This window comes from Homo sapiens, chromosome 5 (genome assembly GCF_000001405.40).
Source record: "Homo sapiens chromosome 5, GRCh38.p14 Primary Assembly".
Classification (NCBI taxonomy): domain Eukaryota; kingdom Metazoa; phylum Chordata; class Mammalia; order Primates; family Hominidae; genus Homo; species Homo sapiens.
Window position 1 is genome coordinate 123,583,958 of NC_000005.10, and position 25,483 is coordinate 123,609,440.

A 25,483-nucleotide genomic window follows, 5' to 3' on the forward strand; every position below is an offset into this window, starting at 1 on the left:
GCTGAGATTACAGGTGTGAGCCACCGAGCCTGGCCCCAGTTGATTTTTATGTATTAACCTTATATCTTGTAACCTTGCTAAAACTTACCTACTAGTTGTAATAGACCTTTTGTAGGTTATTTGGATTTTTCTACATATACAATCCTGTTGTCTGCAAAGAGCAATAGTTTTATTTCTTCATTTCCAATCTGAATATCTGTTAATTTTGTTTCTTTGCTTCTTTGTACTGGCAAGAACTTCCAGTACAATACTGAATAGAAAGGGTAAGAGTGGACATCTTTGTTCGTTCTTGATCTTAGGAGTGTCTTTTATCATTTAAGAATTATGTTAGTTGACATTTTTCGTAGTTGTTGTCAGGATGAAGTTGGCTTGTAATTCCTAGTTTGCTGAGATTTTTTTAAAAATCATTAATACGTGTTGGATTTTGTCAAGTACTTTTTCTGTATCTGAGATGACAATATGATTTATATTTTATTCTATTAATTTGGCGAATTACATTGATTGATTTTTAAAAGTTAAACCAAACCTACATTCCTAGAATGAACCTTACTTAGTCATGAGGTATTATCTTTTTAAGGATTTCATGTTTGTGTTTATGAGGAATATTTCTTATAGTTTCCTTTAATTGTAATGTCTTTATCTGTTGTTGGTAACAGGGTAATGCAGTGAGTTGGGAACTCTTCCAATCCTGGGTTTATGTAGAATTGGTATTATTCTTTAACTGTTTAATAGGATTCAGTAGCGATGCTATCTGGATTGTATTTTGGGAAGTTTTTAAATAATAAATTTAATTTCTTTAATTGATGCAGAGCTATTCACATTTTCTTCTTGAGGCAGTTTTAGTTATTAGTAGCTTTCAAGATATTTGTCCATTTCATGTAAGTTGTTTAATTTACATGTAAGTTGTTTCGTAGTATTCTTTTATCATTCTTTTAATATCTGTGGGATCTGTTCTGATGCCTCTTCTGTTTCTTCTGTTATTGGTAATTTGTGTTTCTTTCTTTTAGCCTGCTGAGAGGATTAATGATTTTATTGAACTTTCCAATCCAGCTTTTGTTTTCATTGGTTTTCATTACTGATTGTCCATTGGTCATTGATTTCCTCATTTGTCATTATTTTGTCCTTCTGTTTATTTTGGGTGGTATTGATATGAAGGCAGATACAGATAAGTTGGTCAGAATACAGAGTCTGAAATAGACTTATACATAGATGGCCGATTGATTTTTGAGAATGGTGCAAAAGCAACTCGAGGGGAAAGGATAGTTTTGCCAAGAAACTATATGAGAGTAGCTAGATATTAGTATTGAAAAAAATATATCTAAATCCTTACTCCACACCAAAAGCAAAAAAAAAAATTACTTCAAAATGAGTAATAGGTTTAAATGTAGGAACCATAACTATAAAATTTCTAGAAGAAAAAACAGGATAAAATCTTTGTGATCTTGTGGGTAGAGATTTCCTAGATTGGACATCAAAAAGTATAGAAAATAAGAGGAAAAAACCCCTGATAAATTGGACTTCATCAAAATGTAAAATTTCTTTTAAACATACTCTTAAGAAAACAAAAAAATAGCAAGCTGTTTTCTTGAAGGGAAAAGGTATTGGCAAAACATATCTGAAAATAACTTGTGTCCAGAATATACAAGGAACTATTACAACTTTTTAGTAAGACAATCCAATTTTTTAAACAGGCAAACACATGAAATAAAGTTCAGTGTTAGTCACCAGTGAAATACAAATTAAGTCAGTTAATCCATACTTTGAAGTTTGCTTTTCTGAAAGGATTTATTACTGCTTATACTTCATAGCCACTAGCATGGCTAAAATTTAAAAGACCATACAGAGGTTGGACAGGTGCAACTGAAACTCCCATACATTGCTGGTAGAAATGTGAAATGACATAACCCCTTTGGAAAATCATATAGAAGTTTTTTATAAAGTTAAACCTATACTTACAACATCATGTAGCAATCCCCCTTCTAGATATTAACCCAACATAAATGAAAATGTATGTCAACATAGACTAGTACAAGAAGAATGTTCATAACAGCTTTATTCACAATAGCCCCAAACTGGAACCTATTCAAATGTCTGTCAACAGATGAATAAACACATTGTAATATACTACTCAGCATTAAAAAGTAATGAGCTATGGTTGCACGTAACAACATGGATAAATCCTGAAAACATAGTAAGTGAAAGAATTTGGACACGAATCTATACTGTATGATTCCATTCATGTGCACCTGTCTAATCTGTAGTGATGAAGGCAGATAAGTGGTTGCCTGAGGCTGATGGTATTGTGGGGGTTGGGGGAGAGTAATAGGCAAGAGACATTTTGGAGCATTAGAAATGCCTCTTGATTGTGGTGGTAGTTATGCAGGTGTGTTTGTTGTTAAAACTTACCAAACTATACCCTCAGGACTACGAGAATCTAATGAAGTAAAATTTTCGTTATAAAAGTTATAACTAGTTTTTTTCATATTCTCATCCCCACTTTCATTAGTGGATGTAGATGGACTTTAAGGCCACTACTTATTTTGGAAAATTTGCTATTTTTAATAGCATATACTTACATTTTATAATAAAAAGTACAAGAAATAAAAAAACCTCTCCGTTATATCACATTTTTAGCATGCGAAATGGGAAGTTGAAATCTCTTCTCTAGTCTTCCAATCTTGTAGCCTTAATGACTGTCAATTTTGATGTATACTTCTGCAACTTGCAGTCTGGTGGAAGCATATATATTGATTAAATAAAAACACAAACATAGTATCTTTAAATCATAACAAGTGTTATTGAAAACAAGTGTATTAGTCTGTTTTCATGCTGCTGCTGCTGATAAAGTTATACCTGAGACTGGGCAATTTACAAAAGAAAGAGGTTTAATGGACTTACAGTTCCACATGGCTGGGGAGGCCTCACAGTCACGGCAGAAGGCAAGGAGGAGCAAGTCACATCTCATGTGGATGGTGGCAGGCAAAGAGAGCTTGTGCAGGGAAACTCCTTATAAAACCATCAGGTCTCATAAGACTTATTCACTATCAGGAGAAAAGCATGGGAAAGACCTGCCCCCATGATTCAATTACCTCCCACTGAGTCCCTCTCACAACGCATGAGAATTCAAGATGAGATTTGGGTGTGAACACAACCAAACCATATCAACAAGTATAGAATGTTTACACAGTAAAAATCAAAACCTTTTCTGACCCTTCATCCTAGTTCAGAGCCATACTTTGAAAAGTTTGCTTTTCTGAAAGCATTAAGTACTGCCTAGATAGTATGATTGTTCATGTGGATAAAACATCTTGCACATAAACAGACATCCTCTTATTAAAGTATTTTCTCATTGGTAGTTAGCATTTTGGTATTATTTTGAAACATCAAGAAATCTTAAGTATTTAACTTCAGTGACAGAAAAATTGAAATATCATTCAGTCAGCAAGTATTTATAAGCATCTCCCTGAGCCTTAGTCTGTAATCTTTATTCACTTATGTGCTAAATGACATTTTGTTACAACAACAACTTGAAAATGACAGTTTGTTCAAGTAGTATTTTTTGTGATAGTGAAGGGGTTATTAATGTTGGTATGTGTCAAACACAAGTTTTTCTTAAAATATATTACACACAATACTCCATAATCGTGTTTAATTTAATGGAGAGTATTTATCATGGGAGTTTTGTGCTCATATAACTTTAGGAAATGCAGGGTTGAAAAAGTTAAACATTTTAAATTCTAGATTTCTCAGAAGTTTTAATACGTTACCTTCTGAATCTTTAAGACAGAGCTGTAGTATACAGTGACTCTGACCATGGAACTCTTTTCCCCGTGGCCTGTACTTCCATGAATAGACATCTAAGCAGATAAATAAATCTCTAACAGCATCTAAAAATTATAATGGAATATTTTAAAGATGCTCAATAATCTTAATGTAAAAACATTATTTATATAGATATAATTTTATCACTTATAGTTACTAGATCTGTATTTTGTATTTATATGTTGAACTTTTGGAAATTAATTTATACATAATGAAAGAACAAACTCTCCATTCTTCCATTCTTAACTGTTAGAGAAAAGTGAAATTTATATTTCTTTTGTATTTCAGAACAAAGTAGAAGAGACGATTTAGAAGCTTTAGGTCATATGTTCATGTATTTTCTGAGAGGCAGTCTTCCTTGGCAAGGCTTAAAGGTAATTGTTTTTGTGTTTCTTTATTGAATTTCATAAAATATTAAGATATTAAGGTCCTGTCTTCCAACTAAACAGTTTTCATATTTTAAAATTTTATTTTGTAAGTAGGCATCAGGGCTCCCTGTGTTGCCCAGGCTGGTCTCAAACTCCTGGGCTCAAGCATTCCTTCTGCCTTGGCCTTCCAAAGCTCTGTGATTACAGGCTACCGTGTGCAGTCCCAGCTAAATAATTTTTAAATTACCACATTCTCAAGATTTTTTTTTTCTGTTTTAGGCTGACACATTAAAGGAGAGGTATCAGAAAATTGGAGATACAAAACGGGCTACACCAATAGAAGTGTTATGTGAAAATTTTCCAGGTAATGAATAATGTGAGGTTGATACATTATATACAGAAAACTAGAAATGCTAATTTTTATTGCTTAAGTTTATACATATTTTTTTCTATGCTTAAAAAAAAAAGAGCTAAAAATATGATTTAAAGGTTGTCAGCATTTGATGCCGAACCCACAGGGACACTTTGTGTATTTGCTTTGCAAATGGTATTAATAGAAGAAAATCCTGTCTGTTAATAGTGTTGATCATTACCAGCTGAAGTAATATTTTCTTTAGTGATATACTTTTAATGAGTTAAAATTTTTGCTAAGAAATGCCAGTTACAAAGTTTTGGTATTCAGTGTTAGTCATTTGGGTCTCAATGTCAAGTTCAAAGGAGGTATGTGAAGTATGATTTGGTTTAGTTTTCAAATTAAACTTAAATTAAGTAAGGCCAGTAAAACCTTACTGACCTCACTAGTTTGGGGCTAATTTTATATTGGGGAGCTGTATGCATTTATGAAAATAATTTTGCTTTCAAGTAGATTTATGGCAACTCAAATTAAGCCAAAAAAAATTTACTTAAGATTTCTACATCAATTAAGGAATAAGAATAACTTGTTAGTATATTAAGATAATGACTGTGATTTATTTGTGCAGCCACATTAAGTGAAAAGAGAGCTAAATTTGAAGATAAAATACGGAATTCCTATCTCACTTTAGTATTCCGTAGTTCTCCTGTATAATGCTGGCGTTATTAATGTAATAATAATATTATCAACATAACAAAAGTAGCTCTTTCTCAAGCTTGTTTATATTATTCATTGACAGCAAACTTTAATTATATATTTTCCTTTCTTGCTATAATATCTAGAAGTAGATTTTTTAAAATGTCGGTTAATAGTACTAGCAGTTTAGTGTAGGCAGATAGGGTAGTTGTCATTAAGGAAGCCTATATAAAGGTGGGAAAAATGGGGTTGCCAAATCAAATTAGCCAGGTATTTAGCTAGAAAGTGGAATAGTGGGAGAGTCACCACCTAAAGAAGGTCACTGCACACCACTTTTGTTGCCTCATTGTGCTGGGTGTGATCTTTTTCCTGTTGGCTGGGGCTGCCTGTGAATGCTAGGTGTAACTTACCATCTCTTACTGTAGTGATTTTCTGTGCCCTGATGGTGAAATGCCCTGCTTTACTAATTGCTCACCATTTTGCCCATTGTTTTATATTTATATATTTGTTTGTCTGTTTGTTTGTTTTTGCATGTATTAGATACATGTATCTAATACATTTTGGAATTATAATAGCATGCAGAGATTTGTATATCGCCAAATAATTGTTAAATATATGACCAGAAATTAAGAGAAGACTTACACTGTCCTCTTGTGTTATGTTTTTGAGATTTGTTTTAGCTTTCCTTTGTTAGCTTAATTGGTTAGAATACTGCTCAAAGCCAAGGTTAGGAATTTGAATTCTCTATTAGTTAGTTGGTTTATGTCACTGATTCTAAAGGAAATCCAGCAAGCCAATACAGATGCTTTCATATAAATCAGTTCTCACCGGTATTTTAAATAAAATTTTAAATTTATAAACTGAATATGATGCTTTGTGATTAATCATGCATTATTAAACTGCTTATTCAACTTCTCATACTACCAAATATTAAAAATAATCTTATAAAAATGAAAATTTTAGCTTTTCCTAATGAAATGAAGCAAAAATAGTGGTTGTTAAACTAAACCTCCCATTTTTCTTGTGTCTCTATTCCCTTCCTTCTTTTCCTCTTTTTTATTTTGTTGTAATTAAACTCAGAAAAATTTAAATTGCAATGTAATTTTGTTACTTTTCAAGTGTTTTTATATAATACAATGTGCTTTTAGATACTTAATTTTATTACTGAGTATTAAAGAAAAGTATAGTCCAAATAATTTTTATATTATTTCTAGAAGAAATGGCAACATATCTTCGTTATGTAAGAAGGCTAGATTTTTTTGAAAAACCAGACTATGACTACTTAAGAAAGCTTTTTACTGACTTGTTTGATCGAAAAGGATATATGTTTGATTATGAATATGACTGGATTGGTAAACAGTTGGTGAGTATTCTATATAATAATATATTACTTACAGTATCTGTTGCCTTTTTAATAGTACAATATCTTCAATTGAAAAGAGTTGAGAACAAATAGTTGTTTTAAAGGATTCATTTTATTGTTTTTTAAGGGACATTTCTGCAGGTAGTGCCGTACTAGTGTTCTTTGAGTTTTTCAGAAGCCCTACATCTGGATTCTTTGCCTTTTAGCATGAAGAGTTACTTTTAACTTTTCATCCTGATTTAGTTCTTAATGTCAAATATACTCTTTTTTGTGTAATATTCTCATGATTAATTTAATACTTCAATCCCTTGATGAAAATTAAAATTTGTATGAGTCTCTTCAAGTCAAAATATTGGAAATAAGTAATTTTATTAGTTTTTTTATTCTTTTAATTTTCTTAAAAGTTTATTCTATGTATACATTTGCTTTGGAAATGAGAGGCATAAACATATACATTTTTATCATGTTGATATGAAAATGTAGCCTAAAAGTAATGGCAGCATTAAGTGTTCTGTAGATGTAAAAATAAGTACTTTATAAAGAATTTGAATATTTTAAAAACACTTTAAAAAGTAGGTATATTCTTTTTGCTTTACCTTCTTAGCTTTAACAACATATTTTGATAATGATGCCTTTACTTAAAGCCTTAGTTTATTTAACAGTCTTTTGTTTTTTTCCTTAATTCTTTTAAGCAGCTAAATGATTTTAAATAAGAATTTTAAAATGGAATGTATTGATACCAATTGTTATTGTATTGTAGCCTACTCCAGTGGGTGCAGTTCAGCAAGATCCTGCTCTGTCATCAAACAGAGAAGCACATCAACACAGAGATAAGATGCAACAATCCAAAAACCAGGTTTGCTGCCCTTTAGATATGAAATACCTTCCTTTCATGATTGAAACATACACTTTTTTCTTCAATAGATAAAACAGACTGAAGGATTGAAAATACATATTTTTAATAGATAATCTATTTTCTCTTAATTTCACTGTTTATTAGTTTAATAATAGCATTAAAATGTTTAATCATAAATCCTTAATTAATGGTACAAATTAGTGTAAACTTTTAGGAATATGTGATATTCTGTTAGAATGGAAGTATTTGGATACCCTATTAGAATGAATTGTAATAACACTTGGACTTTCTAACTGTAGTTTAGTTCAATAAATTATTTATTGAATTTCTGCTATTGTAAAGCTACTGTTCTACACATTATAGAAATTCAGAAGTAAAGAAGACTGTATAACCTTTAAGAATGATTTTGTCACCAGTGTCTAAAAGCAGTGTTGTAGCTAAGAGTTCACTCAATTCTTTAGAATCAGGCATACATGGATATGGCTTGACCCTGGGCAAATAAGTTAATCTGTCAAAGCCTCAGTTTCCTCATCTATAAAATGGAAATAATGCATGTTAATTTAGAGCATACAGTAAGCTTTGAATCAAAACTCTTGTGTCTGCTGTTACTGTTATTATTATTACAATAAATACAGAAATAGCTATATTTAAAAAGAGAATAAGCTATATTACATGAAACACTAATAAAGTAGCATGGAGATCATATGTGGGGCTCTATGAAGATTTTATGGAAAAGGTAGCTTTTGACATGAACCTAAAGAATGAATGGAGTTTTTAAAGGGAAATGAAGATAAGGGCATTTTGGGGAGAGTGAATAATATAAAATATGAAGCAGAAGTTTAAAAATAGAGAATTTGAGGAATAGCAAGCGGTTCAAATTTGTTTGGAGCAGGAGGTAGGTAGAGATGGATTAGAGAGGGAGTAGAGAGTCAGTCTGAGATAAGGCATAGAAGTTGATCAAGTAGCGAGTTCATGTTTCCTGGCCAGGTAAAGGAATAGAAAGCTGTTGAAATTTTTGGGCAATGTTTTAATTTTTCTCTCTCTCTTTCTCTTTTTTTTGGTAAAAAAGTTTTATCGAAGACATCTTTGACTTAAAAATTTCACTATCACACTGAGTTAAGGAGTGTCTAGAAATTTTCTCTTACAATCCATTTTGGAGAAGGATAGTATGCCGTCCTTTTTGACTTTTATATTGTTTATCCCATCAAAGTTTAAGTGAAGATTAAAGATTAAAACAGGATGACAATCAAAAGAAAGAACACCACTTGTTAAAAATCATAGCAAAATAAAATGCTACATTTTAGGGAGTGTTTAACAATATTATGCTATATATATATATATAGCATGGCCAGTTTTAAAAGATTAATATTAAATTTTTGACTTAGAAAAATTGGTACTATAAAGCATCTCATACATAAATTACTTCATATATAAATTAAAATTAGTTGATAGCTGGAGTGCTGTGAAAAGATTCTGTATAAAGAAAGAAATGGCTCAGAAGTTGAGACTTAGTTTGTGTTTTATAAACCAGAGTTAATTCCTTGAATGTACTTGGAAGAAGATTAATACGGTATTCTTTGAAATTCTCCACTTGAGCTGTTAGGTATTATAATAAGTGAAATTCCTCTATTGTTGAATTAAATTATAAATCTAATGTTTTAGACTTTTAGTTTTCTACATCTTTCAGACATGTCTTGCTAACTAGAGTATAAGCTCACTGAGGGTAGGAACCATGTTTCATTTGTCCAGTCCTTGCACTAAATGTAGGGTGGGTGTGTGTGTATATATACACACACACACACACACACACACACATATATATAATATTTAGGCAATTCTTTAGGATAGGCTTATATATTGAATTTGGGATGTGAATATACACACTTTCATCATGATAGAAAAGTTGTATATTTAAAAAAAACTTCTTAAATATCTCTAGACCACTAAGCAGCTTAAGTTCTACAAGAAACCCACAGTTCACAATCCCAGAGGAAGATAGATTATGTCACGTGACTTAAACCTTTGTAATGCCCCTAGATAAATGAGTTAAGTTGAGGGGATCCTGAAATTGTTGGGTACATGTAATTGTTTATTTTCAGGAGAGGGCGTGTAGCTCTTACTATATTCTTAGAGAGTTCCATGACCCCAAAATATTGCGCATTGCCCTAGATGTTTGTCTCAATTTTAGCATCATTTTTATTCTTTGATCTTGTCTAGACTTGACTTCATCTGATTTGATTTCAACTTAAGCTACAAATCTGCTTAATTCTGGTTATGGATTTGGAGGGTTTAACGAAAAGACATTATAGAACTGTCATAGTTTTGATGACATACTTTATGCCACAGAGTATGTAATTTTGCATTGTACAATTTAGGAAGCTTAGTGCCAGAACATGTATTCATGTGTCTACTTGAATTTTACATCTCTCCCCTTAAGGTTGTTCTGGCCAACAATATGCTTGAGGCTCCCCATACTCCAATATGCTTGGCACTTTGTGGCAAGATTTTCATGACTTTGTTTGAAAAAGAAAGAAAAGAGTACTGAAGGCTTTAGAATATATTTAATTTTCGTAAGGAGCTAGGTAGTATTATTGGAAGAGCATTATGCTCTGAGTTGGAATTCCTGTTGTACTCCTTGGTAGGTCTGTAACTGTGGGGAAGTGGTTAATGTCTCACTGTCTTCATCAGTAAAAGTGGATGATAATATCTACCTCAAAATATGGTAATATATAAAGCAGCTAATTCAGAACCAAACATGTAATAAAGTTTAAATAGTATATTCTTCTCCCTACTTTTTATTAGTGTTGTCCACATTTTCCTGAAACAGAAGTTGTCCCCTATTAAGAAACTTCTCTTAATTTTACTGGTAGATTATGATGTTTGTTATTGCCATGCATATTTGCCAAGGGATCTAAAAACATCAAGAATTTTCAGATTATTTCATAGACATGGGTTCCTTAATTTGAACCAGATAAAAGGAGATCAAGGAAGCAGAGAGATTCATATATGTAGGATTATCACTTAGAAAAAAAATTGTTTTGTCATATTCTCATAGTATTCTGTATAGTGCTTCTCCCTTTTCAAAGAACTTTTCTGTTTTCTCATATTATCCTTAGAATCAGAAATGGGGGACTAAGCAAGAGAGAAAATATTTTTAGAATCTCAGGTACAGTTATTTAAGGGCCATCATTTGTACCTTGCTAAAAATAGCTCCTCATCAGAAAACCAGTGATGACATCTACTGTGTAAAAATATAGTGGGTGGACTTCTAGTGTGCCCAGGATTTATTTGGAGTTCTTTCTTGGTCATGGCATTTTTACCTTTCTGGTTCTTTATTAGTTCATTTATAAAGCTAGAGGGTAGAGTCTGTGATTTCTAAAGTATTTTTACTTCTAAAATTTTATGGTTCTATTTTATTTTTATTGTTGATCATTACACAATTTGGCAACTTAATTAAAATCACTCCACATTCTGTATACAAAGATAACTGCACCATGATTCAGAATAGTAAGGGTATTTTAAATTTCCTTTTATACGTTTGTTTTATATATTATGAGGATAAAATGTTTAACATATTGGGTTTTTCTTCTTCCATGCATGCCATATGCATTAAATAAATGGCAGTCGGCAGACCACAGGGCAGCTTGGGACTCCCAGCAGGCAAATCCCCACCATTTGAGAGCTCACCTTGCAGCAGACAGACATGGTGGCTCGGTACAGGTATTTTCTGATTTTTGCATGAGTGATTATTACCCAGATTTATACAACTAACCCTTTTTTTTGGAACTCATGGCATGATTTCATATCTTAATGGAAAATTTGTTGCTGAACTACTCTATCCATAATTCTATTCCTTTGTTATTTAACCAGAAAAACCAAAATTAACGTGGTCTAGAAAGACCATCAGGAATACCAAGATTTTTCCTTTGTTCATTTTTGCAACTATATGCTACAATATTTAAGTCATATAGCAGATTAGAAAAACAAACGGTATTATGCTTGAAATAGGTATTAAACTTGACTTTCCAATAATAAGATCAGTCTTTTTAATGCTTAAATTAATAGAACATTTTTGTATTTTTTCCCATTCATTGACTTTGCCTCCTTCAAACATAATCAGTTAAATATCTTTTTTCATCCTTAGTACTCAGAATGTACTTTCTGATTAATTGTTCAAACGAACATGACCCTAATTTTTATAATACATGTTTTGTTTGTACTTATAGAAAATATCAGATGGAAATTTTAATAAGAAGTGTTTATTAAATACTCCCCTCAATAAATTGTATGGCTTTTTAGATAAATTCAAAGCAGTCCCTTATTTATGATTTGTTTCTTTTCACCTTTTTTATACACTTAGAGACCGCTACTATATATATTCTGCCCTCCGTTGCCCCATAAATTTTAATCATTTATGTATATTGTAGAAATAGGGAAAGATTGCTGAGTCTCGTATTGTCTTTTAAAATATCGGTTTAAGGTAATCTAAAAGCCAGCTTAAAGTAAGTGAGATAACAAATGTTATCCCAGTACATTTCAATTTAGAATTTTTTTTACATTTTCATTTTTTTCTTTACATATTTTCACTTGAATAATTTGCCATTTTATCAAATTTGCATTTTTCTTAGTGTATATATTTAATCAACTGATTCTGTACTCTGGGTGCTATTCTTTCTTGATTTGAGTTCTAAAAATTAAATTATGATTAAATCTTATGAGCCCTCACGTTTTTCTCATCATTAAATTTTAGAGGTAATTTAAATTATATAATGGAGTACTTTTGTAGAATTTTGCAGTTTATGGAATTTTCAGTAATGTGTGGTAGACTTATTTGAGTAGATCTATAAAAGTCTAGGGTGAAGAACTTAGAGGCAAGAGTGTCTAAATTGTAAAAATTTTTATGACTTCAATTCATATAGTTAGAAAAGCTAATTCAGCAAATATATTCTATTTGCATAACACAAACTATATTTTGTATGTATCTGTATATGTTTACATGTTTTTAAGTTTGTGTGTATGTGTGCAAGTGTTTTTGCTCAGTGTAACAATTAAGGCACTATTAGAAAATTTTCCTACCATTTCTGTACCATTACCAGATTTATTTTCTTAGCCTCTTCTTACTCTTATGTGATTCCTTGAGGTGGCTCGTGGGATTCCTTTGGACTGTCAAAGGGTGAATGAATTTCATTATTCATTCATTATTTCACTACTTCACGTTTATTGTTTCACATGTTTTCACAGAGATGTTTGAACATTGCTCGTTTCTCATTATTTCTAAGAGTTTTCAGCGTACTGAGACTACATCTGACTTCATCCTAATATTCAATAAGTGATTAACTTAATAGGTTTCTAGTAATATGGAAATACATAGGTAAAACAAAGAATAGTATTTTCATTGACTTCATGTATTTTGTAATATTAACTGACACATGATATGATGGACTAATATGACAGCCTAAGTAGGATCATGCCTGAATCCTTCCCACTCCAAAATAAAGACTGAATTCATTTATAATTTATGTCCTATACACTTTCAAAATTATTTGAAAATTTGTAATGTGACCCTTGTGTAATTGGACTAATGAAATTATAAATTAAAACGTAATAAGAGCAAAGAAAAGTACCTAAAATTTGAACTGATATTATAATTGAATACTATATTTGATTCTGAATGAAGGCAGAAAGGGAAACAATATGTTCTATTAATATTATTCTCATTGTTTGATAAAGGGAGGAGAGAAAGAGAAAAAAACTTTTCAGTAATACAAAAATATGAGAAGAATTTGCCTTGGGCTTATTTGTGCAATGGTCATTAAATCACCTGTTGAACAAACTTTCAAGCATTGGCTTTACAGGAGATGCAAAGACTTTATATGGCAATTAAAAAATTATTCTTAATAAACATACTAAGAGTATGTCATCAAATAGTTTTTTTAGGAGAGACATTTCCCTAATTAATAAGTCACTGTCTGGTATTGAAATGTGACGCAGGTTTAGGATATCCAGAAACAGAATCAAGTTACTTAAAATGAGCCTCGGTAAGACTATGGCTTTCACTCCTCACTATCATTGCAGTCTTTTCCTTGGAACTGATCATTGCTGTCAGTGAAGCACTGAAAATCATTCCAGGCTGTTTAGAGTTGACATGTAAGATGAAACCTCTTGCCATTTTTGACCTATAGAAAGATCCTCAGGTATTTATTTCACATGTACTTTTAGTAGAAGTTATCAGCAGAGTCTAAATTTGAACTCCCTGCCTTTCCAGAATTATTATATAGCAGACCAGACAGAGTTACCAAGTTGAGAGTTACCAGGTTGATGATGTTGCAATTAAGAGCTTAAGCTCTGCAGTCAGATTTGAGTTCAAACTCTGTGCCAAGATTATTTATTAGTAAATGAGGATTTTAACAATTCCTCTACCTTATGGTTTTGTTATGAAAATTTAATTTAAAAAGTATTTAGCATAGATGTTGAGGCTTAGGAAGTGTTAGATAAGTAGAATCTATTGTTTTTGCAAATTAAGAAACTTGAGTAGTATTTTCATTTTATTGATCTCTGGGAAGTGAAGTATTAGAGGTACAGTCAAAAGAAAGCATTGATGAATGGGATTTTTCTTATTTTATCTCTTTAGTTCAGTCATGTTAAGTCACTAGCTAAAAAGATACAGCTGTACGTTTGATAAACTTTTTCCATTCACGAGACTAAGAATAATATTCAGATATCTACTACCTTTATTTTGTATCAGCCTGTGTTCTGGAAAACCCCTAGGGGAATCAAGTGTGCCCCTCTCGGTTCCCTCTTAGAATCATTGGTAGTAATAAATATGGCTGAGAAACTCAGACCTACCACATTCAGTTTCTTGGCCATTCATTACTCAGCAAATTGCTAAGTGTTCATTATGTGCTAGGCTCTTGTAGGTTTTCTTGAATGAAAAGAAGTGTGTAAAGACATGGTGGCTGTGTCCATGAAGAAGTCAGTCAAGGAGGCTGATGAACAGGCAGGGTGATAAGTGGAGATAGCACAGGGTACTAGGAGAATTGATACGAAAAGCACCTAACCTGGATGAGTCAAGACTTTCTGGGGAAAGTGACATCTAAACTGAGACGTAAAGAATCAGTGGGAGTTAATCAACTGAAGATAGAAGGGGTCAAGAGAGGAGTATACCAGGCAGAGAAGACAATATGAATAAGGTTGTGGAGAGAGAGACATATTGAGGAAGCTGATTTAGTCAAGCTGGTGTGTGTTGAGAAATGAGACTGAGAAGGTAGGCTGGAGGTAAATCATGAAGGATCTAACGGGTCTTGTTACTAAATTTGGCTTTATTCTGAGGATAATGGGTAGCCATAAGGGGGATTAGGAGACCAAATTTGACTAGTGTTTTCTAAAGATTGCGTTTGCTGGACACTAGATTGAAAGGAGACAAGTCTAAATGAGGGATACAGCTGTCAAAAGTCTGTAGTTGAGGAAAAATGTTGGGTAGTGGGGATAAACAAGAAATGAAAGGCTTTGAAAAGAATTAGAAGGTAGAGTTTAGTTGGGTATGGGGCTGACGGGAAAGGAAAAGTTCAGTTGTTACCCCTTTTTGACATGTTTCTACATGGCAAATCAAGATCCCCAAAATTAGGTTTTAAAATATACCACTGACAACAGATAGTAGTAATCTCTAATTCCATTTTAGCTATGCTTTTCACTGTAGCACAAATCCATCGAGCTCAGTGCAAACTGAAAATCTGATCCTATATAGAGGCAACTGTAAGCAAAGGGAAAAAGACAAACATTAAGGACACTGCTGGAAAACTATTTTACATGGTTGTACTATGTACATGTACTATGTATACCTCCTGATTGTTTGGAAATCTCTTATAGTTGTACAGTCTTTGGTTTGAATCTAATGAATAATGTGACTCTGAGCACTTGGGAGAAAAAGGGGCAGAATTACAAATGGTGCAGATATGTTGTGCAACCAGGCATTGTTGAGGAAAACGAAAGAATAACATTCATTGTTGTAATAAGCAGTCTGATCTTTTAGCCAGTGAAGCATCAGAACAAATAAATACAGTTGGTGATAACTGAAAAGGATTATCTTGAGATGATAATAAATGTATCTTGAGATGATAATAAAACGTGATTAAAAGTCTAGAGGAATAGTAGATACTATTGTCTCAATTACATTAATCGTGAATACTGACCTTTCTAAAACATTTCTAATACTAGTTTCAGTCTACAAAATATTTGAAAATGCAGTTATTAACAAGGAACAAAATCTAGTGACTATTACAATCACATCTTTCTATTCATAGTTTTCTGGGGTACTGAAATCTGCAAAAGAGAGATTGTGGAGGGAGTATGGTTATGTGCCTTTATTACATAAATAATTTATAGTTCATCTAGTTTAGGAAATTCCTTATCTAGTATCATTGGGGTAAATCAGCATTATGAATTTATTTTTTTTTTACAATAACATTTACAGTAACATCTCTGAAGACTGGGATGATCAAGGAAAATAATTATCCTAAGTGAAAGTTAATTGAAAATCCATTTTGGCTTATCTTTGTTGAAAGTTGGTGAGCATGTCACTATCTGTGCTTTAGGGTCATCTTTTGGAATACCAAGAGTATCAATTATACCTTTAGTCTTTAGGATATGTAAATAAGTTGGTTTCATATAGTATATGTATACTTTAGCACAGGTTCAGGAAATTATTTGGAAGTCACTCTTTTAACTGTTAATATATCTCATTAGTGTGCTTTCTTATAGATGCCTTTTTAAAAAGCTGAATACATAAATAAAATATATAATGTTTTAGTATTTCTAATACATTATTAGATGAGAATTTGGCTAATTAAAATATTTGGTTAATTCATACATTGTATCAAGGTTCTACTTAGTAATCTTGCTTACAAGGTATCAAATAGAAATTAGGAAGACAGGAGGGGCGTGGTGGCTCATGCCTGTAATCCCAGCACTTTGGGAGGCTGAGGCGGGTGATCACTTGAGGTCAGGAGTTCGAGACCAGCCTGGCCAACACGGTGAAACCCCATCTCTACTAAAAATACAAAAATTAGCCAGGCATGGTGGTGCACACCTGTAATCCCAGCTACTTGGAAGGCTGAGGCAGGAGAATCGCTTGAACCCGGGAGGTGGAGGTTGCAATGAGCCAAGATCATGCCACTGCACTTCAGCCTGGGTGACCGAATAAGATGCCATTTCAAAAAAAAAAAAAAGAAAGAAAGAAATTAGGAAGACAGTAGTATAACTAATTTGTATGAATTCATTATATTTGGAAAGTACATTAATTGATTTTAAAAATCATTGACAATAAAAATACTATATGTTATGTCTGTACTCTGAAATCTATAAGAATAACATCTTTTGGAATTGGATTTGTCAGGCATCTGTTAAGTTTACAATTATGTCTCACACTTGCTTGTGGGCTGTTTTTCCAACATCCCTCTTAAATTCTGACAGTAAAACTGGAGTCTAGTTGCCTTTTTTTTTTTTTTATCTTCTTAAAATAAGAACCGTATTAAGTTTCCTGTCAAATTGGGAATGTCAGAGGGAATTTTTTTTTAAGAACAACAACAATCCTGTATAATACCTGAATTATTTTTTGAAATGTCAAACCTCAGAATATCTGTCATTTTTATGTGCTTTCAAGAAATCAGCCTGATGTACACTAGTATTTCAGAGACTCATCTTCTAGTTCAAGTTATAATTCTAGAAATGTCACTTTAATAGAATTATTCTTTAGAATTTGGCTTATAAAAATATTTGTGCATATTTGATTGTTTTAGCCTTCCAGGAGTATAATGATATATTATTTACAGTAGTATATCTTCATTTCTTCTTTGTAAAACCCTTTTGCAAAAAGACACAAATTTTAAGTGAAAATAATTTTAATGCCATGATACACTCTCAAGTCACCGGTGTTAAATAGGCCAGTTTATGAAAGTCAACAGCAGTATCCTATCTTAACTCTGTTACCACAGTGATTCTATTCTGAACTTGGGATACTAGCCTTTACTGAGAGGATTGGGGAATCTGGGAAACCCTGGAAAAATTACATTAAAGGAAGATGTTGCTTCCTTCTGGTCTGGTTCTGGTCAACCAGGTAAAATGGGGTTTGAAACATTTCAATAAAATAAAGTTTACCAAAGTCAGGTATAAAAAGTCTTCCTCTGTGAACTGAAGTAAATCCGATTATATAATTACAGTGTATATATAGTCACTGTTGCTAGAAAATATGTAATGTTGCTAGAATTTAGACTACCTGAGTTTTTCATTTTCAATTATGCTGCTTAAAATAAGGGAAGACATGTTAGAGGAGCTGCCTGTAAGTTGAGGTGGCATCCCGCTAGCTGTCTAGGGCCATTGAACTAAAGGGAGAATAGGAAACCTGTTGAATAGTATGTTGAGAAAAGAGCAGTGGAAATTGTTCAGTGAACTGTTTGATTATGTACTGGATACAGGCACTCTGTTCAAGGTAGTGGAGAATATGTGAGATAAGAATACTACTTTGTGTCTCCTTTCCAATTTAGTGCAGAGGCAATGACATTTTCAAAATTAAGAATAAAGAACAAAATTATGTTCAATAATTAGAAAAAATAATTATTTTTAAATGTTTTCAGAGAGAGAGAGAGAAAAATAAAGAGAAAAAATTTACAGTTCAATAGAATGACAGAAAGGGGGAAGCAAGTGCCCCAGAAAAGGAGAGGCATGCTTAGATGTAAGAATATTCTTTTCTTTAGATTGCCTTTGAAGATTATCAAGGCAGTTTTGTATGTTTTCAGCTGTAGGCACAACTGCAGTGTTCATTTCTAAGTACTTATTCCATATAGGATATAGGAAACTGAATTTCTACAATTCCTAAGTTAAATATGTTGGTTGATTTGTAGATATTAATACTTTCCTTGGAGTTGGAGAGGGTCCTGTTTCTCTACACTAAAGTGTCAGATCTAGAAGGACAGGGATGTTTATCTTGCTTACTTTGGTATTCCAAATACCTAGAACAGTGCCTAAGCATGTTGTAGACTAAAGTAAGAACTTAGAAATATGAGGTACTATAAATACTACTTTTAAGTCTAATAGTCAGTTGTCAACTCTGTAGCCCATGACAGGGTTGCTAACCTTTTATTTCATTTAAAGAGATTAGGTAGTGGGTAGGAGGGGCATCAAAGAGAATTCTTAGATTTTTGAGCCTGGAAGTCTGGAAGATGGGAGGGCTTTAACTGAAATGGGAGCCTTGGGAAGAGAATACATTTCAGAGGGAGTAGGATAAATTTGCCTTTAGAAATGCAGAGTTTAAGGTGCCAAACTTGGCTTAGCAAACTGAGGATATGGGTGAGTGGTTAGGCCCAGGGAGTCCTTTACCTAGAGGTGAGAGTTGAAGCCATCATTATAGATAAAACATAGTGATAATGATGGCCACCATTTATTGACCTCTTCCCATATGCCAGGCACTGTGCTTTATATATTAACATTTATGTATTGATCTCATCTCACCCTCATATCAACCTTGTTAATTAGATGCTACTGTTCACCATTTCATACTTGAGAACACTGAGGTTTAGCAAGGTAAGGTATCTTTCCCAGAGTCTCATAGCTGGTAAGTGGTAGAGCTAGGCTTTGAGTCTAGACCCATCTTACTCCAGAATGATCAGCTAGCGCCAAGTGATTTGATGTACAAGAAAATGAGGCACCGAGCAAAGTGTCCTGAATACATTTTCTAGGAATCATTAGTAACCTTTAAGATAACTCTTATTAGAGTTCTTATGTAGGGTTGGAGAACTGATTGCAAGGAGTAAAGGAATAAACACATGGAAAATTTTATAAAAATGGAAGTGGTGAGTTATATATTTTTTTTTTCCAAAAAGTTTAGTGATAAGGGAAAAGGAAGAAATAATAAGGTAAATTTGCAGAAACAAGAGAATTTGGGAGAATTTGGGAATTTCCTCATTTTTATCTTGTTTCAGGATTTCATTCATGCATACATGCATTCATTTATTTCAACGTATATTTATTGAGTTCCTATTCTCTGCGAGACATAGCAGGAAACAATACAAGGTCTCTCTTATCCTGGAGCTTAATTTTAATGGAGGTAGGGATGGATGTCAAGAAACACAACAAATAAATGAGCAAGCAAATAAGAAAAACATGAATACTGATAAATACTGTACAAATAATTTAAAATAGGGTGTAACATAATTTCTGTGCTGTGTCAGCATAGAAATTTTTAGCTGTGTGATAGAAAAGGCCTGTCTCAGAGATGCTGTTTGAGAATCTGAAAGATGAGAAGTCAGCTAATAAGTAGGAAGAGAATTCTAGGCAGTGACAATAGGTAATGCCAAGGCCTTTAAGTGGGAAGAATCTCGACATATTGGATGGAGGCTAGTGAGCTTCAGAGAAGATGGTGTAAGCTCAGAGAGGTAGGCAGGCATCACATCATGTGGGACTTTGTCAATTTGTGTAAGGAATATAGATTTTTTATTCTAAGTGAAACGGGAAGCCAACAGTTGGAGAGTTTTAAGCAGAGAGCTATACATGATGTGATTTGCATCTTAAAAGGAGCACCCTGATTGCTGTGTGGATAATACATTTGAGTGGGGGACAAAGCTGAAGACTAGATAATAGGTTTTTGCTCTTAATCACATAAGAGATCATAGTGGCTTGGACTGGAGTCCTTGTAGTAATAGAGATGGTGAGAATTGATTAGATATGGGATATGTTTGGAGAAGGATTTAACAGGATCTGCCATTTATGGATTAGATGTGGGTTTTAAGTTAAAGAGGAATCACAGTGACCCCTACGTTTGAACAACTGGGTGAATGAATGGTGTTGTCTCTATTTAAATGGGCAGTTTGAAATGGAGACTTGAGCATAATTGCAGATTGAAGTGAAGGATCCATTAGAAGGAGTAATATTGAAGTTTTTCAATATTCAAGGAAAGTAATTCATGATATAGCAAGGTGCCAGAGGACATAGACACACAAGAGGAAACTGATTGAGACATACATGCAGGAGTTAGCCTTAAAAACCAGAGGGAAGGAGACAGAAGACACAGATTTCAATAAGGAAAGGAAGTAAGTTGAAAAGCGCATATTAGATGACTTTAATCTTTAATAAAATGCTAGACCAATTACTGTATTTAGTTATGAACAGCTACATATTGTTTTGTGTTCCTCACATTAACTTTCTAATTGAAATACTTTAACAATTATGTTTATCCTTGTATAACCTATTTAATATGTATGTATATTTATGAGCATGTGTGTGTACATATACATATATAAAAAATTTTTTTTTCAAACAGGTTGTAAGTTCTACAAATGGAGAGTTAAACACAGATGACCCCACCGCAGGACGTTCAAATGCACCCATCACAGCCCCTACTGAAGTAGAAGTGATGGATGAAACCAAGTATGTGTTTGTTTTACTTGTTTTAGTAACTTTTTGTTCTTAAATTATGCATGCTTGAGATTTATAGTTACATACAATTATTTCAGGAAATTTTTTTCAGGGAATAGGTGCATGCAAAACAAGTGGTATGCTTAATTATTTTAATCACTAGAATGAGTTTAAAATAGTGCTATTCCAGTAAACATTTTAATAATACAAAATATTTAAGAACTGTGTTCAAATTCTTATTTGGAATTAACAACATATTTTTAGCTTTTGAGTTTTAGGAGTGTTGATGCATGAAAGTTATTGATGTACTATCAATCTTTTTTCTGTAAGCATAAGAAATTAATTTTATAAAATGCATGTTTTAATATTTTGAATTAGTTTTTTCAAAACATAAATTATAACAACATTGCTTGGAAAAAATTAAGCATGAAAAACAATGTGATAATTTCAATGTGAGCTGTTTCTGATTCTCTCTCTCTCTTTTTTTTCCTTGTATTTTTTTTTTTGTGTGTGCGTATAGCTGCCAGAAAGTGTTGAACATGTGGTGAGTCTCAAGTGTAGGCAGGCAGAAATAGCTCCATTGACTGTAATTTCAAAGATTTAGCATCATTTTGTGTCTTTTGAAAACAAAACTCTCAACACAGTGATTATAATTGGTAAAAGTTATTCAAAAGTATTTGATATCATTAAGATAGCTCTGAAAAGCAAGAAATAATTGTTTGAGGAGCTCTTTTGCCTGCTGCAACTTTTTTACTTTAAGTGACATAGATTTGGGGCCACTTTTTAATTGCATAGATGATACACCAACCCTGCTTGTGCTTGTGCATTTGTTTTATAATAGTTTTTATTTGCTATTTAAATAGAAAGATAGATTTTTGCATTAAGCTTTCTTTTTTCTCTTTGCAATTGTTAAATACATGTAGCAGATCTCATCCCCCACAGTAGTATCACTAAAACAGTATTTCATTTACTAACCAATTATCATTGCCCTTGAGTACAATATTGATAAATTTCATGATAACCTTGTAGTGAGAAAGCCATTTTAAAAATCCTCATCTAAATGGTTGCTAATAATTGCAGATATTATGGAAAGTAACATTAATAGAAATAATTTTAGATTTAAATTATTTTCTGACATTTGCCTTTAATTGTAATACTGTGCTTAAAATGCTTCTCTCAGTTTCAGGACAAATTTTGAGTCAGACTGGGAGTGAATAAAGGAAGTTGCTTAGTTTAGTAAATTTTGAAATATTTTACTCATATCTAAAGGCACCTTATATAATTTTCAAAATTATGCTCATTTGTTGGCTGCAAAATTAGGAAACTTTTGTGGATTTTTTTTTGTTAAAGAGCAGTGATTAAGAATCCATTTTAATCACTTTTGACTATAGAATTTATTGACATAAGATTAAGACTAGTGTATGTCAGGATATAATTAGCTATATACTTGTATATTTTTATGAACTACAGAAATAAATCCGTGAAAGTATAGTCTTACTTGTGTGTTTTTAAATCAAATATAAAAACAACAGCTTATGTTTGGGAATTTTAGGTACAATCCTAAGACAGGAAAGTAGGGTGGTGGTGTGGCAGATTCGACTGCACATGTCCTTTGCAGTTAGACATAGGTTATAGAATCCTGTTTCTGCCACTTATTTGTTACCTTCAAGAAAGCTTGTTTCTTTTTCTGTAAAATGAAGCTAATAATACCTACTTCATAGGTTGAGAAAATTAAATGTGATAAAGCCCTGGTATTTTGTCTGGCACACGGCAGGTACTCAATAGCTATTATCACCCCTATTTATTTCTTCTCTTCCAACTGCTGGTGACGTTTCTCATCTCTGTTCTTGGGCTTGTGCCTCTTTTATCTGTGTCCTATATTTTTACTTCCATACACACACTCTTCACTGAAACTGGCTGTTCTGTGTTTACATCCTCCTGGAGACTTGCTTTTAATAAAATCTATTACATTTATCCATTTATTCATTCAGCAGTTACACTGCTGAGGTTTCTGACATACCTGATGCTGTCCTTGTTCTTAAGTAGATTACAAGCCAGCAGGAAGATTGCAGTTGTACTAGTATATGTCAGTATGTGATTAATACGATAAAAAAGGTATTTTAAAAAATGGTTAGAGCTTGTAAAGATAAAGATTACTTCCTGACCTGGATGATCAGAGAATACTTGATGGAGGTGGCTCTGAAGAATGGCACAGTTATTTAGTTGGGATGAGTGTGGGTGTGTGTTTGGGTCCCTATCTGTAGACACTGGAGGATGTGAAAGAAGAAAGTGGTGGGAAGGCTATTGCTATAGGAAGGGTTCTCCATTGCCTGCCACATCATGTCCAGATTTCTTGGCATGGCACCAAGGCTTCTCATACCTGTCATAGTCTGGCCCATCTATTTTTGCAGCTCCGTTTTCCATTCTGAACTTTATATAGCATTGGTTCCTTAAATCTGCATTTGCTATGTTATCCTCTGTATGTACTTCCCACTTCTTGAAACTTACTGAATTTCTTGAAAACAGGTATTTTTTCATCCTCAGATTCCTAGTGGCTATATGTCCTAATAAATCATTACTAAATAATTAACAATGTGGTATACCCATACAATGGACTGCCATTTGACAATATAAAGAAATGAAATTGAAAACATTGTGCTAAATGAAAGGAGCCAAACACAAAAGGCCACATGTTATGTGATTCCATTTAAATGAAATGTCCAGAATAGGCAAATACATAGACATCAAAAGATTAGTGATTGCCCAGGGCAGGGAAGAGGAGGATGGGATTTCTTTATGGAGTGATGGAAATGTTCTAAAATTAGATAGTGGTGATAGCTGCTCAATTCTGAATACTAAAAGACACTGAATTATATATTTTGAAAGGATAAAGTTTATAACGTGAAAAATATCTTAATAAAATGGTTGTTTTAAAAAAAGTATAGCAACTCATAATATCAGTGAAGCCTTACTTCAGGTGGGTTAGGTAGGTTACAGAAATCCTCAGAACTTTCCTACCTCTTTGCTGATTAAACATTCTATTTAAACAAGATTTTTTCTTTAGGTTTATTCTGACATTTCTACACGTTTGTTATTGTGTTCCTCATACCCTCTTAATCTGTGACTAAGAAATTTGAGCATGATTTTTTTTCTTTTTTAAGAGATGGAATCTTGCTGTGTTGCCAAGGCTGGCCCTGAACTATTGGGCTCAAGTGATTTTCCTGCCCCAGCCCCCCCAGTAGGTGGGACTATAGGTGCACACCATCATACCCAGCTCCTTTTCTAAATTGCATCTTATACTTCTCTTCTCTGTGCCACCATTTGACACGTAACTAGGGACCTGCTTAGAATTTTCTTTCAGAATTTCTTTTTCATCTTTCTTCTTACCTATAATTAGCAGAGATCCTTCTCACCCCACCCCATTTACTAGAATGTATTCTATAATGCACATTTTAGCATCCTCATGTTTCCTGAGAATAGTATCTCATTGGGGTAAATACTTGATTTCCAAATGATGGAAAATACTCTATTCTCCCATATGGAAAATGATGGAAAAGCTGATTAGCTTCATTAGTAATGAGGTTTTGTCTTTCTTGTTTACTGTAGCTGAGAATTTTAAGACAGGTAATACAAATGATAGCACCTTCATCATTCCTTCCAGGAACTTAGGAAAACAAAATAATTTAGTTTAATTATTTACTTTTTAAGTAGTATGAAACCATCCTTTATTCTTTCTCTTTCCTTCTTCCAACATTTACCGAACAGATTATCATGTTTTGTAATGTGATGATTATTAAGGTATGTCAAAGTTTGCATACCATTAAGTTGGTTGGAAAGTATACTAACAACTTTTATACAATGGTTCTCAACCTTGATTTCACATTATAGTCACCTAGGGAGTTTTAAAGATGTACTAATACTTAGGCTGTATTTTCAAGGTTTCTGATTTTACTAGTTGGTCTGTGGTGGGGCCTGGTTATCAGTATTTTTAAAAAACTTCTAAGGTGACTCTAAGGAGCAGCCAGGGTTAAGGATCATTGGTCTAATACAAAGTATTACATGATTAGCACTATAGGAAAGGGATAATTTTTACTGGAGTTCAGAAAATGGAGTATGTCCTCCTAGTTGGGAAGATCGGAGAAGTCCTCATGGGTAAGGATGCATTTACACTAGTTCTCAAAGATGAGAATGATTTGGCAAGGGAAATGGATAGAAGGAGTCAGAGAGAAGAGGTTGACGCAAGGAAAGAATTGAACCAGTTGGAGGAGTAACTCATGCAGGCAGAGAATATATGAACACGTTAATGAAAACTGAGATAGGCTAATTTCCCAATCTCAGAGGGCCTTGGTAGCCAGTAACCAAATTTGGACATTATCTTTCTCAGCACAAGAAAGGAAGCCAAGAAATGACATGTGGTTTTAAGCCAAGAAACAATATGATCAGGTTGATCCTTAGGAAAATTAATTTGGCAGCAGTTATGAGGCTTATGTCACTTCCTGGGGTTCAGCAGATTGCAGAAAATGGTTTAAAAATATAAATTAAGTTTTCCTATGAAACTAGATGGATAATTTCTATTTTGGGTTAGTATTCTCTAGTAAACAAACTATTCCTTAAAAAATGTT

The 25,483-nt window shown here is 32.9% G+C and overlaps 1 protein-coding gene across 59 annotated transcripts in view; it reads left to right on the forward strand.

Annotated features, from left to right (window-relative positions):
* Positions 1-25,483, forward strand: part of CSNK1G3 (casein kinase 1 gamma 3) — a 104,873-nt gene that overhangs the window by 71,781 nt on the left and 7,609 nt on the right. For 11 of the 59 annotated variants that reach the window (XM_047416768.1, NM_001364141.2, XM_047416766.1 and 8 more), the window contains 6 exons: positions 4,111-4,196; positions 4,470-4,554; positions 6,456-6,601; positions 7,362-7,457; positions 20,767-20,873; positions 21,382-21,405. In XM_047416768.1, the coding sequence (XP_047272724.1) occupies positions 4,111-4,196; positions 4,470-4,554; positions 6,456-6,601; positions 7,362-7,457; positions 20,767-20,873; positions 21,382-21,405 (544 nt within the window). Of the gene's footprint in view, positions 1-4,110; positions 4,197-4,469; positions 4,555-6,452; positions 6,602-7,361; positions 7,458-11,081; positions 11,178-20,766; positions 20,874-21,381; positions 21,406-25,483 lie in introns of all 59 variants that reach the window. The other 48 variants (XM_017009060.2, XM_017009059.2, XM_017009057.3 and 45 more) reach the window with 11 other exon arrangements.